Here is a 15,696-nt window from a genome sequence, read left to right as displayed (position 1 = left end):
GCCTGTAGGCAGGATATAAATTCTTCTTTACTGGAAATGACTCTAGGCTTTTATCAATCCAGAGATGGCACCAGAAGAATCTGCAAACAAACCTTTATTAGTTTTCTCTCGTATATTTACCTTCCCATAGTTTGCTACCCTTGGAGACCTAAAACTGCTTTCTCTGTCCTGCCATTTTTCTACAAAGTTATTGTTCTTTTTAAAGATGCTATGTAAGCTGGAGTTCTAAGTCATCTTTTTGAGTTACTCATTTCTGGGTACTCCCTTATGTTACATGTGCAACACACATGTCAATAAACATGTTTGTTTTCCTCTTGTTAACTTGTCTTTCGTTACAGGGAACTCCAGCTGAAAACTCAGATGAATAGAGGAAAAAAATTTTTTCCCTTACACCTCTAATATAGTAGACTAATTTTTTAAAGATGTAAACTACTTTTGCAAAAATCACTTAATAGCTTAGAATAAAATGCATTTAGAGTAAAATCAAATATTTCACTTTAACTTATAAGGCCCTGCATGATTTCTTCCCTGCTCAGCTCTTGCAGCTACCATTCTCAGTCTCAAAATGAAAACTGGATATCCTAAGAAATATCCTAAGAAAACACAGCTAGAAAAATGAATACTAATGACTTTTTAATGTTTTTCAACCTGATATGCAATCCATAATTTGATCCCTCCCTAAATTTATTTTTGTTTCAACTTGGCTTTAACATGCATCATTAAAAGTAGCACTGTAATAATTTAGATCATCAATTGAACACAATTATGAAATATCTGAGATAGCCAATATGTTCCCATTGTTGATGAGCCCACTTATTGAGGCTTAAAGAGTTATCTCTATGATTCCCCAAATGTGGCTACTAAATTCATTATAAATATCAAAGGAGAATACAGACCACATCTGGAAGATGTGCTTCATTCCTTCAGACAATATTCAATTTAATTATTTTTAGCTCAAAGTATTTTTCCACTCAAAGCATATTGAAAAAATTGCCAGGAACTTAAAAACTTAATAGATAATAGACTTAACATTTTAATACATCCCTTTAAACTCATGAAATAAGTAAATAACAATGACAGCATCCTTAAGTAGGTAGATTATTGAAATGCATCATTGAAGTGCTATCTAATTGAACAGTTACTGAATTCCTTTTATTGTTTTTGTGTGGTCATTCTTCTTATATCACTTGGCCCTTCCAACCTTCAATAATATTACCTTCCCAATGAAGGTAATAATATTATCTTGGCCATTTTCTAACATTTGTGTAGCTTTCCATTGGTATGTATTAGAGCAGTGTTGTCTGAACTTATCTAATCATAGAAATTACTTAAAGAACATATTAAAAATACTAATTTCAGGTTCCTTTTCTGGAAATGCTTTCTAGAAGACACTGTCAGTCCACAATCTGTACCACTCTGCACTCACTTTCTAGCCTGTGTCTACTGCTTCCCACTATAAACAAGTGCAACTCTCCACCTGGGGGTTCTATTTTGGCCATGCATGTCAGACCGGAAGTGCTGGGGGCATTACTGCTCTTGAGAACAGCCCTCAACCAGTGACTAATCAGTGTTGGAGTCTCCTCATCCATTGGGTGGGATAAATATGAGATATATTTTACACGGTTCCAGAATTACCCAACAGTATTCAGGCTCAGCTATCCACAGGGGTAACCTGCTCAGTAATACACAACTTATTGCCTTATTGCCTCTCCTTCCCTGTTTCATTTCTCTGCTCCCTGACCATTCCTAGGCTCACCTTGCAAATGTGTCACTCCCTGACCATTCCAGACCTTCCTAGGATCACCTTGCAAATATACTACTTGCACTCAGATAATTTCCTCAGAAGGTTTTTGTGGGGAATCTGAACCTGATTTCAGAGAGTCTGACTAGATAGGTTTAGAGTAGAACAAGGTATCAGCTTATAACGAGCATCCCATATGACTCTTGTGATAAGATAAAAGTGGTATCTACTACAAAATAAAAACCTATATTTTCAATAGCTTTAAGCTTGATTCTCTCCAAAACTTCTGTGTGGTGGACAACTTAGCTATAAACTGTTCTCCTGTATATTTTCTTTGTTATCTTCCTGTATAATCTTCTAAAAAATTCTATATCTTTGCGTTCCAATCACCTTTTATTTTAGACATTTCTACCTCTTTGCGATTTCTGCTTATTGTCATGTCAATCTATAAGTTAACATACATTTAAAAATTTTAAACTTACAAGTTTCTGATACATTTAAAATTGTTTTGTCATATGAAAATCTCAATCTTATATAACCTGTAATACATTGCTAAGGAATCAGTATTGATGGAATTGTGTTCTCACAATTTCAATAAATTCTATGTTTTTTATATGATAGCTCAGATTGTTACATTGAATAAATTTTGTGATTATACAAAGTGAATAGTGGTAGGGAGAGGAAGAGACTTTTATCCAAAATGAGCATATAAAACCTTCCTTTTTAAAAAACATCTCCCCACTAGTGACTGCCGTGATGCATTTTCCAGATACCTCTTTAGGACTGAAAGATATATTTTCCCAGCTACTGGGGGTAGTGCTGACTTAGACAGCACTTATCCATAAGACCTCTCCAGAAATTGCCCTCAGGTAAAGAGAACTGTCTCAACCCAGACCATGTTCCTTTCTCATGGGCAGACTACACTCAATGTCTGATTGATAAATGGGTAGAAAGGTCTGGCCTCCTTCCCACAAGCTGGTCAAATATAAAGGATTATTCCAGTTTCAGAGCTCCCCAAGAGATTAGCTAAATCTGTGTAGACTGCATAACAACATAACATCTCCCTTGCTCAATTCTCCCTCCCTCCTTTTCTTGCACCTGGTGTTGATTCCAAGACCACTCCCCAGTACATATGTTGCATGTTGCTCTCCATCTCGGAATCTTCTTCCAGAAGAATCTAACTTGCAGCATTTGATTCTATGAGTAGTTGTAAGAATGTAGTTAGAAAACATGCTGAGATGAGATTCTGGAGCTGATCAATCTCTGGCTCTCTAGCATGAAGGACTTCCATCACTGATGATCAGTGGAGCACACATAGCTGCTGGCAGAAGGTGGCAAATGCAATCCTTAAAATGATCACTAGCAGTGATCTAGAATGATATGACTGTGGAAGGGATTGTATTAATGGGGCCAGTGTTTCAGGTAATTAAGAACAGTGAAGAAATATTAATTATAAAAATAATGGAATTATATGTCTATTGCTAGGTACAGTTGATGCCTTGGAAAAAGATAACAAAAGACTGGGAGGATTAACTGGGAATTAAAACTAAGTGTGAAAGCTAAGGGCCCTCCTGCTAGAATATAAAGAGGATCTCACTTCTTCAACCTTGAGAACAGAAATCTGCAGACCAAGTCTAGGCCTTAATCATAACTATAGCAGAGCTCCACAAAATGCCTAGTCAAGGATACTGTACAAAGATCAGGGCCCAGAGTCATGCAATGGTACATCCATGTTGAGGCACGCAAATAATGAATTATCAAATGTGCCTAATGCCTCTGAGCCTGGCAAAGTGGCTCACTCCTTCTTCTTAAGGGTTAGTGTTTCCCTTGGTTTGAGGAAGATGCAGTAGCTTCTACCTGCAAGAAAACATGACATACACACCCTCACCCCCACCTCTGAATCTTCCCTACCCCCATTCCTGGACACTAAGGCGATAATTAGGGCTAAGTCCTAATATAATCTGGCTAGGGAAGTGCTGTGCCTTTTAGTGGAGAAAAATAACTACACTTCCAAGAAGTGTGGAAGCTATGCAACATATGCCAGTAGGAACTGGGAGGATACTGACAGAATTAGGTTTTGAGGATGCTATCCCAATGGAAGAGAAGAACATAAAGTTGGACAAGTTATTAAAATGAGCTCACTGCCATGGGACACAGGACTTAACATCCTAACACAGATCTCAGGAACACACTTCTAGAATGTGCCTTAGAAAGTGAAAAAAAAAATCAAGGGACAGCACAAAATGAGATAGAAATACCCAAATACTCGTAGCAGGCAGAAAAGGAGGGACTTAAAGCCTCAACCAAGAGGGCATGTCAGAATAATTATACCATGTAAGGTCTGAAAGACCACCACAGATTCTGCTCCTTAGGAGCATCCAGTATTCATTACTTACTGAAGCAATAAAGAATGTATTGGCAATAAGAGAACCATATCACAAAGAAGCTCAGTCATGCCTGTCTCTGTCAGGCCAAGCTAATGGTAGGATATGCCATTATAGAACGGTGTTCCCTGAGAGCAATGGGAATGATAGAATTCCCAAATAATACAAGGCAGGTGGGGAGGAAGAACCAACAGAATCCAAGTGGATGTAATTATTGTAATTAGTGGCAAGGTAATGGTCAGGGAAAGGAAAGGGTGGCTTGACACATGGAGAGTTATGGAGATGGTTAATGGAGCATGGCTTCTTTAGGAGAAAGACAGGTGAATATATATTGAATATATATATTCAATATAAATAACCGAAAGCAATCAAGGATAATGATCAGAAGGTTGAGCGCAATTGTCCCAGTAAAATTTCATGATGTCTTGCCCAGTGTTCAGAACAGGAATCCATTGCCTGGTCATGCCACATACCACACCATCTAGAAGCTTTCAGCCTGATATAGTAATGGACTAATCTGTTGAAGGCACAGCTAAAGTGCCAGCTTATACACAACACTTTGAGAGCATAGGATGCTATCCTTCAGGATTCGGTGTAGACAGAAGTTGCTGTATCTCCAATAGGTAGATGATATGAATCCAAGAACCAAAGAGTAGAGGTAAAAGTGACTGTAACTCCCATTACTTCCAGTAACTCCTTTGGGAAATTAACGTTTCCCATTCCATCAACTCTGGGCTTCATGAGGTTAAAGGTTCTAATTTGCAAAGACAGAATGCCTCCATCTCAGCACACACCAAACATCTCAATGAACTGTAAGTTATGATTGTTGCCTGATATTGGGCTCCCTGTGCTGAGGGACCACCCTGGCAAGGGCAATTTACTCTGATAACCAGCCTGATTATACAAGAAAAACAGGAAGGAAAGTGTTTGGCACCAGGTGATTCACTTTGTTACCCATTGCTAGTCCCTTGCTTGCCATTGACGTAAGTGGGCTAATGCATAAAACGGCCTAAGAAGGCAGGCTTGCTTCCCATAGGAATCAGTATCATGGTCACATCACCTGGTAAGCCACCTAGACCAGCTGAAGTGCTAGCTGAGGATAGAAAAATCTAAAATATAGGATAGGAGGAAGACCATGAGTATCAGTTGTGATCCCACAATCAGCTGTAGCAGTGGGGCTATAGTTTTTCTCATTAATCTTCCTCTTCTAAGATTTCCTAAGGAAAATGGGCACACCAGAATCCTGGAGAATCTGCTCCAAGAACTGATACCAAGAATTGGATCTGAGAGGTAGAAGGAATGAATCGTAGTGGATGCTGCATTGTCTACATCTCCTTAGGACTCAAAGACTTAGTCTTCCAGGTGCCAGCTGATTACCTCCAGCTGTCAGGCCTCCTGGAAACTGGGCTCAGCTAGAGAGAACTGGCTTATCCAAGATCACACTCCCTTCCTGGGGAAGTCTACATTCAATGGACAGGTAAGTGTAAGACTATAAGACGCAGTTCCCTTTCTGTAACTCTGAAGGGTCATCTAGCTTCAGTTTCCTCTACGATTAGTTGAGGCCTTTTGTTGAGACAGGCATGGAGCCCAACATGTCTCCCTTTGCTCCATCCTGCTTCTTTCTCTTTCCTGCCACAGATGTTGATCCTGAGAACACTCCTCAATGCCAATGCACTTTCTGTGTGCTAATCTCCATCTCTGTCTCAGAGTCTCCTTTCTGGGGAATTCAACACTCTCAAGTTCTCTCTCCTTCTCAACTAATCTCTCTCAGATAGGATTAATTTGTTTCCTGTGTTAAAAATAAGCCACAGTAATCTCTCAAGTCACAACCTTTGCTCAGGATGGCTGGTTTCAATGCTTTCTTTTTCTTTTGTGCCAATCCAAGCTATATCCCACTTAGAAGGCACAAAGTATCAATTCACATTGAAATTTCCATGCTTGGATCATCTATCTACAAGGTTATTTGTAACCCTCCTTTCCACTTTACCTGAAAATAGTTTCTGTTTTCATGTAAATGTGTTTTTCTTCTAAATAAGAGAATTATCCCTTAAAATTTGAGATTATGTTTTATGCTTTCTTGAATTTTCTAATGAATCCTTTGTAAATCTAGGTAAGTCATAAAAGGGCAATACATTTTATTGATTTGTTGATTATCTAAATGAATATCACACACACCTTTACTTCTCTGCCTCTTCTCCCATAGCTATGTTTGAGTATTACCTTGAGGCATAGCCTCCCTCTCTGCCATCCCATTTCTAGCATCAATTAATGAATCAATTGTGGCAGAAAAAAAGCTTCAGCTATTGTGATTTCTCCTACATTTTCACATTTTAATTAGTGTCTGAATGAATAAATGATTAACTATATTAAGTACCCCCAGACCTAGAATCTATGGACTAAACCGTGATTAATGGATTATTTCATAAATGTATACACCCACTTGAACCCACCTCACCCCTGCACCAATTCTCCAATATCCCCATGTCTCATCTGTGGCAATCTAGATAAAAAATCTGGTGTACTAGCCATGAGAATGAAAAATAGTTGGCAGACGAGGTTCATTCTGCTTCTGGTTTTAGCATTTCCATCCTCACATGACACTGACTGTGCGCCTGTTTCCCATTCTACTCTACCTGGTAATCAAGGATGGTGGCCCTGCTCTGAATCTCAACCAGTACTAAGAGGCCTGCCGCTTGACTAATTCCTGCCAACTCTCCTACCCTACACTTAACTCTTTTTTGGCTTACCTCAGGCTCATGTCAGAAGGTCCTTCTCTGTACGGACAAATTGCCTGACACAATACTACTCCGCCTTATTTCAGAACTGATTTACTGCATAACCTTCCTTTATTGCTATGTCTCAGAATGCAGACTGGAATGCCTGGTCTGTAACACTGCCTATGCTTATGCTCCTTGGCACAGGGCTTTAAATACAAACTTGTTCTCTTGTGCTCTTTCTTCCCGGTTATTTGTATGGTGTGAGGGGAACTTCTTCAAGAAATATTACTTCCTCAGTTCCATTTGGGATGCCATTACCTCCCTTCCCTTCCCTTCCCTTCCCTTCCCTTCCCTCCCCTCCCCTCCCCTCCCCTCCCTTTTTTCTTTCTTTCTTTCCTTCCTTCCTTCCTTCCTTCCTTCCTTCCTTCCTTCCTTCCTTCCTTCCTTCCTTCTTTCTTTCTTTCTTTCTTTCTTTCTTTCTTTCTTTCTTTCTTTCTTTCTTTCTTTCTTTCTTCTTTCTTTGATGGAGTCTCACTCTGTAGGCCAGGATGGAGTGCAGTAATGTGATCTCAGCTCACTGCAATCTCCACCTCCCTTATTCAAGTGATTCTCCTGCCTCAGACTCCCAAGTAGCTGGGATTACAGGTGCCTGCCACCACGCCTGGCTAATTTTTGTATTTTTAGTAGAGACGGGGCTTTGCCATGCTGGCCAGGTTGGTCTCAAACTCCTGACCTCAAGCAATCCATCCGCCTCGGCCTCTCAAAGTGCTGGGATTACAGGCGTGAGCCACGGCACCCAGCCCCATTGCACTGATTTCTAATGGGTCTTCAGCTTTCTAGGATGTTAATTTGGTACGGCTTCCATAACAAAATACCACAGGCTGGATGGCTTAAATGACAAACATTTATTTCCTCACAGTTCTGGAGGCTGGAAGCCCAAAGTCAAGGTGTCTGCAGGTTTTGTTTCTTCTGTGGCCTCTCTCCTTGGCTTGCAGATGGCTGCCCTTTTTTTTAACTGTGTCCTCACATGGTATTTCTTCTGTTTGTGTGCTTCCCTGGTGTCTCTTCTTGTGACTTCATCTCCTCTTCTTAAAAAGACACTCATCAATTTGGATTAGGGCCTATCCTAATGGCTTCATTTTAACTTAACTCCTTAAAATCCCTATCTCCAAATACAGTCACATTCTGAGGTGCTGGGTATTAGAGCATCAACATAGGCATTTTAAAGTGGAAAAAATCAGCTCAGAACACCCAGTATGCACATTGCTCTGTGTTGCTGAAGTCTTAGCAGTTCTTACATTTAAGCAATCCCACTTAGCAATCTCTTATAAAGAAGCTTATAACTATTGAAAAACAAACTAAATAGCTGCCCACAATGTTTTGACAGTATTTCTATTATTAATGCAGTTTAGTCTCTGCAAATAAATTAGATTAATTTGCTAGCCTCCATTTTGATTAGTCAAATAAGCTGTTAATAACTCAAATGTACAAAACTCTTGCTTCCCTCGAATCCCACGTTTTTCTGTACATTCCAAGGAAACATACTATATTATACTTAAATGAATACATACTCATTTCAAAATCAGCAAATTGCTAATGGTTACAATGTGTGGCTTTGACTTCCGTTAGAAATTTTTCCTCTTCAAAATATGTCTACTCATTCTTGGTGTACTCTCAAGGAAAATGTAAGTATGAGTTTTCTGTGTGAGTGAATAAAAAAATCTTTTGTTTATATAGTCAAAGTATGTATAAAAGATTTATAATGACATAATGAGAATTTGAGAGGCCATGGAGATCCTGAAAACTTGGAAATATTTTTCTAAGATATCATATATTTATATATTCCTTTATAAGTTTATTGAACCTATGAATGAATTTTAATCCTACAGTATTCAGATACACAAACATTAAGATTATACGAATATAGCATCACAGTGAGATCTGTAAAGATTGTCTCTTTGTCACAGTGCTAAGGGAAGTACCAGGATTTGTGCTATTTTATCAATGCTCAGAGACTGACTATTCCTGATGGTAAATTATAGATGATAGATTTGTCAGGAAATTAAAATTCCCAGGAGTGAATATGAGAGGGCTATCTCTGAAGGATCTCTATTATTGACATCAGAGAAGAGAAAACTTGCAATGATATATAATTTTAATTGGACTCTGTTCTGACAGGCTGACCACTTGCCAATGGTTATCCTGGGAAAAAAAATAACATGAAGGGGTATAAAATTTGCTATACATCTTCCCAGGTTGCTTAGAAAAGCTGCGACAGTTTTTAATTCGTTCCAAATGCCCTTTGTTCTGGCCTTTCATCTGTAAAGTTACTTTGACAAAAAAGTAATAGACAGAGGGTCTGTCTGGCCAGTGTGAAATTGTCTAATGAGGAATCTGTACACTAGATTTCATATGAGTAATGGAAACAGTCCTTAGTCTGTGTACTATAATAGTATGTTTTCTTATTTCACTTTTTATTATGTGTTAACTGGAGAAAATACTTTAAAATAGCTTACTCAAAACTTCTTGTTTCAGGACTGAAAATCAAGAATGGAATGCAGTTAAATAAAACACTGAATCTACCTTGATAACATCATTATTACTGGGGCCCAGAAAGCCCTAAACCCTGGTGAACTTAATTATTAAGTTCTCTGATAGTTTCTGGAGAACAGAGGTGGCTCTCTAGGTTTCAGGTCCATTTGTTTTGGCCCTCAAGATGTTGGTTCTTGTAGGACTTAAAAAAATTAGCCAACTATTTTCACATAGGGCCTATTTTCCTTGTAAAACGAAATAGAAAGATTTGAGAATATTGTTTCCTCATTCCTGCATTACCTGTAAGACATCACCTCTGGGTTATCCTTAAAATATTAAAGGTAAAATGAAATTTGCTTTTATTTTGCAACTGTAAACTCTTTTTTCTAACTCTAAAAAGAATTATCAAAAGTTGAGTTAATTTAATTCATTTTCCTGATATGGTTATAGATGAAAGAAAAGTAGGTGTTTATTACCCTTTGCTCTGAGGTCCTCAAAAAGATATTCTACCTGTGATCAAGCAAGAGTCCATCAATGTAAGCTTGAAGTGATTATAATTATGGGTTTGATCATCATGTTACATCTTCTTCTTTTCACTTCAGTATGTCATTATTGAACACCTATACTAAGGTCTAATTGTGTCATGGCTTTGAGAGATGCAGAAGAGATATGAGACAGTATTTTCAAATGAGGATATTAAACTCTTAGCAAAATAGCAAATGCACAAATGAAATAGTACTAAAATAATATGAGATCTTGTATATTTAGAAACCAAAACAAATTTTATAGGTAATGTTATAACCTCAGGTAAGGAAGATATTAATTCAAACCAGAGCAAGTGGTAAAGATTTCACAGTCTCAGAAAACAGGAAAGAATATTCAAAATTGTCAAAATATGAAAGCTCCATGTCATAAATTCTACAAAAATATACACAAGGAGGCTAGTTTGCTATTAATAGTTTAGGGTAGTAATATGAGAAAAGGATAAATTATGAAACTGGCACAATTGTCCTGTAGAACTGATGTTTATGCTTTATTTTGAAAAAACATAGAAATTGACCTTACCAGTCTTAAAACATGAGAAAGTTACATTTGTCTTATCTGAATTCCTTTCTCAGAGGCCAACAATCAAAGAAATGAGACTTACCAGATCACCACATCTGGACAATGAGACACCAGACACCTTACCTGTCATGATTGCCTAACCGACCACTTGTTTCCTGTTGACCAAGTCCTCTTCCTTACCCCTCTCTAATCTGTGTTTTCCCACACATAGTTACATTTCTTCCCTGCTATATAAACTCCTAATTTTAATTGGTTGAGGAGATGGATTTGAAACTGATTTCCCATCTCCTCACTGAAGCACCTGAATAAAGCCTGCTTTCCTGGAAATACTCATTGTCTCAGTGATTGGTTTTCTGTGTGGCAAGCCACAGGACCTAGACCAAACCCCTGGTGTTTTGATAACAAATACACAGGGTATCAAAAGATTTGATGGAATTCAGTAGTTATTCCAGGCAAAGGAAAGTCTTATTTCCACAGTCACTTTTATTTCATTTTTGAAGATCTTTTGAGACAGGGTCTTACCCTGTTGCCCAGGCTGGACTGCAGTGGCATGATCTCAGCTCGCTGTAGCCTCAGCTTCCTGGAATCAAGTGATCCTCCCCTCTCAGACTCCCAAGTAGCTAGGACTACAGGTGCACACAGCCATGCCCGGCTAATTTTTATTTTATTTTGTTTTTTTGTAGAGACAGGGTTTCATCACGTTGCTCAGGTTGGTCTCAAACTCCTGAACTCAAGCAATCTTCCTGCCTTGGCCTCCCAAAGTACAAGGACTACAGGCATGAGACACTGTGCCCAGCCTATATTTTCAAATTTGGCATAACTCACTTGTGTCAATAGACATTGCATCATTGGAAAATTCATAATAAACTAAAGAAGTTTGGTCAAGGCACTGTAATATGGTTTGGCTCTGTGTCCCCACCCAAATCTCATCTCTAATCAAAATCCCCCTGTGTTGGGTGAGGGACCTGATGGGAGGTGATTGAATAATGGGGGCAGACTTCTCCCTTGCCATTCTTGTGATAGTGAGTAAGTTCTCACCAGATCTGGTCGTTTGAAAGTGTGTAGCACTTCCTGCTTCACACACTGTCTCCTGTCACCATGTGAAGATATATGTGCTCCCCTCTGCCTTACACCATGATTGTAAGTTTCCTGAGGTCTCTCAGTCAAGCTTCCTGTTAAGCATGAAAGCAGAGTCAATTAAACCTCTTTCATTTATAAATTTCCCAGTCTCAGATAATTCTTTGCAGCAGTGTGAAAATGGACTAATACACACTAAAACCATCTTAAGCAGCAATGATATAATGAAAACTATGTGATGTGATATGCTATGATACAGAAGGTGCACTAATGTCTCAGTCATCTCTGACATCTAGAGTAGTGAAGAAGAACTACTCTAAATCTCTTGTTCTTCTTCACTGCTCTAGATGTCATAGATGACTGACAAACCATTCATGTTAGGTCACAAAACTCATGAGGGACATATATGTGCCACTAACTGTGCACACACAGTCATTCAAAGATGAAGAAGACATAGCCTTGCCTTCAAGGATTTTATAATTGTGTTGAAGAGACAAACATACATGTTAACTTCTCTCTATGTAAAGAAAGAAATGTACTATTTATAGTGCAAGGATTAAGTACAAGAAGTGGAACAATGTGGGGATGCCACTCTCTCTGAGAGACTTAATAAAATGCTTCAATGCAAAAGGTAATTGCTAATTAGGATTTAAACTGAAGACTTAAATTTTACAAGGTCATTGAGACTAAAAGGGTATTCCAGGAAAGGTAAATAACATACATAAAGGCAGGGAGGCATGCAATATTTACAATGTTAGAGGAACCACAGGCATTTTGATATTATTGAAACTTGAAGAAAACAGGAGGGTAGTGTTGATGGTCAGCAACCAGATCATTAAGTAGTCACAGCTTTATTCTATAGGCTATGGAGAGCCACTGAAGTGTTTAAGCTAGGAAGAAACATGATCAGGTTTACATGTTAGAAAGATAATTCTGCCCACAGCAAAGAAAATAGATTAAATATAGTCTAGTCTAGAGGCAGGAAACTCAGGTGGCCATTGCAAGAATCCAAGTAAAAGATACTGAGGGCTTGAACCAAGGTACAACAATGATCATGGAGAGGAAATCATGCATCTGAGACCTATTTAGGAAATAAAATTTACAGGACTTAATTATAATGATGATGATGATAATAATCATAACAATACTTAAGGTTTACTGAAGAATTGCTATAGATCAGGCTCCGTACTGAATGCTTTCATTTTCACACTAAACCTACTAGGTAGGTGCTTTTAATTCTCATAAAGCTTGTTCATCTCTAATATCTCCTAGCTTAGTAATTGGGTCCACCTTTTGCCCAATAGCTTGGGTCAAATGCCATCACCTTTAATCTTTCTCTCCCACTCTACATCCAATTCATCAGCAAAGGACATGATTACTCCTTACTACTTTCATGACAGCAGCCCTTATCCAAGTTACTACCATCTCTGTTTAGGATTATTGGAAACTGCCTTCTGACTTGTTTCCCCATTCTTGCGTTGTTTTCCTGCAACTTACTCTTCCTACAATAGTTAGAGTGATGTTTGCCATACGTCAAAGATGCCAATTGATTCCATCACACTTAGACCCGAATTGGAAGTTTTTACGAAGACCACCACTGCCCTACCTGAATTGACAACTGGTTACTTTGCTAATTTATTGCCTACAGTTTCCTCGACTTCTCTTATCCTCCTCTCAGTACATGTCTTTGCTCCTCCTTGAGCATGCACAGGCATATTCCTGCTTCAGGGATCTTGTACTTGTTTTTCCTTCGGCCTGGAATTATCTTCACACGATTTCCTCCCACAGTTTCAAATGTTCAAATGTCATCTCTGAAAATATACCTTTTTTTTAACCATTCGAACTAAAATAGCACTATTCTCCCTACTCTACCATCACTATCCTCCAATCAACTTCCTCCTTCATTACAAGTCTTGCTACCCAGTCTATCTATTATTTCTTCATTAACTGATGGTCTTCCTTGGTAATGTAACTCAGTATTATTTTTGGCTTGTTTCCTGTTATATACGTAGGGCTGAGGGCAGCAGTGTCCTGAATTTTATGGGTATGTAATGCTTGCTGAATGAAGGTATGTATGAATGAATATATTAATGAATCCTCTTTTTATAGCTGAAGAAACAAAACCAGAGATAAGTAACTTTTCTAAGTTTATACAGCTATTAGATATCAAGAGCTGAGTTTCAAACCTGTGTGACATCCCTGTAGAACATGTATGTTTAACCACTGCAGTTACTTCACTGTGTGTACCTAGTAACTCATAGTGGAAACTCTGGTTCACAGATGAAAATATTAGAGGAAAGATATTAAATTCCCTCTCCTCCTTTTTACATATTTTAGTTAAAACTTTGCAATTAGATATGATTCATAGGAAGAGCACATTCAATATGGCAAAAATAGAAGAGGGTCAAAGATGAAGCTAGTCATTGTGATGTATGGAAAAAATGATAACTTAAAGTCACAACATTGCTTTTCTGTTCATGTGTATGATGAAGCCCATCTACATAGTCATGTAGGTGGGCTTCATTCCTCCTATATATAAAATGTGTAAGGATAATTCCTACCTTATATATTGTGAGGATCAAATGAGTAATATAGGTAGTTTGTAAATATATAAGGATATATTTATATTGTAAATATATAAGGATAATTCCTACCTTATATATTGTGAGGATCAAATGAGTAATATAGGTAGTTTGTAAATATTATTAAAATGATGATTTTATCATTATAATGGGGGGATGATATTGTATAGAGTATATAAAATGATTGTGGGTTAGAATGTATCATGTATTCTCTTTTTCTAATGTGCCGTATATCCTATTGTTGTGTATGTGTGTTATATGGCTAAGTACCACTTGCGTAGATGCTTTTGGCTCTTGCAGACTCAGTCACTCTCCCAACATGCCACTTACACAGTGGGGAAATTTTGCTCAATATGTGCTAACTAGCTCATGTAATTGACCTTCTGTCTTACAATGCATAATCGCAGTCCTTGTATCAGGAGTTGCTAATAGTGAGATGGCAAAGAAGTTCAGAGACAAACTAACCCTTTTCACTTTTTTCCTATTAAATTTATTGCAAATTGTTGTGGCTAGATAATTTAAACAAGTTGAAAAATAACCTCTTACGTATGTAAAAGACAGAAAAAGCAAAGCAGTGCTCTAGAACTGCTGTGTTTACTCAGTCAGAGGCGTTTAAAAGACTTGTTTCATGAGAAGCAAAGGGAAAAGTTTAAAAGCTTAGCCGTAGCAATTACAGGGAACATGTTTTCTGTCTCTCCTCGTAGAAATGCCTGTCTCATCTCATAGAAATGCATGCATCTCATCCTCAATGTCTGCCAGCCTTCTTGTCAGACCAATTACTTTAAAACAATTGTTTCATTTGGAATAGATGCCACAGCCCAAGTGATTGTCCCTTGTCAGTGACACATTCAATTAAAACAACTCTGAATAGGAGTTCTGGAGGGCCTACTGTGCCTTGTCCAATCTTATCAGTCAACAAAGAACAACCTCAGAGACTTCAGCACTGACTGGTTCCACTGTCAGGTGGTTTGAACATGTTGCACCTTCCCAGGGTTTCTCAGAGTCTTTCGTCCCTGTGCCTTTTACAGCCAATGACAGGCGCCAACTCAGCAGTGTCTGGGTCCGCAATGCCAAGAAAGCTTATGGCAGTAAATAAGATGGCAGCTGTGACAGTCCTGACAGCTGGCTGGAGCTCAGGGTGGCAGGCTAAACCGGACTGTGAGCAGTTGGAGTAGCAGTGAGGTATGACCACCATTACTGGTAGGCAGATGTCAGTTTCCACACTACTAGTTACAACATGATGTGACAGACACAGTCACATCATTACAGAGACAGACAGAACTTTAAACAAACCCTGAGAACTAGCAAGTTCTGTACCTTTAGGAAAATTTAAACATTCGTATTTAAACAAAAATTCCTTACCATTTCAGTAGTTGTAAAATTAGAGAAGAATCTTGCAAAGTAGTAATAGCAGAGAATTTGCTCTTCCACATAAGAACTAGAATCAATGGTAATAAAACTGATCTCAAAAAATAAAAGAAAGTTTTGTGTGTTGGCCACTGTTTTAGAAGAGCTTCTGTGAGTCCACATTTATGTATCTTAGGATTCCTTTGCCTAGAAATTGTAGGGGTTCCTATACCTTTTGACGATTCTCCCAT

The 15,696-nt window shown here is 38.3% G+C and overlaps 1 long non-coding RNA gene across 1 annotated transcript; it reads left to right on the top strand.

Annotated features, from left to right (window-relative positions):
* Positions 1-5,337: 5,337 nt before the first annotated feature.
* On the top strand, positions 5,338-10,766 carry LOC124900737 (uncharacterized). The gene is made up of 2 exons (XR_007058195.1): positions 5,338-5,602; positions 10,493-10,766. It is a non-coding gene; the product is annotated as an uncharacterized LOC124900737 (long non-coding RNA).
* The last annotated feature ends 4,930 nt before the right edge of the window (positions 10,767-15,696 follow it).

This window comes from Homo sapiens, chromosome 4 (genome assembly GCF_000001405.40).
Source record: "Homo sapiens chromosome 4, GRCh38.p14 Primary Assembly".
Taxonomy (NCBI): domain Eukaryota; kingdom Metazoa; phylum Chordata; class Mammalia; order Primates; family Hominidae; genus Homo; species Homo sapiens.
The sequence above is the reverse complement of the archived record's forward strand: the minus strand, read 5'-3'. Positions and strand labels throughout refer to the sequence as shown.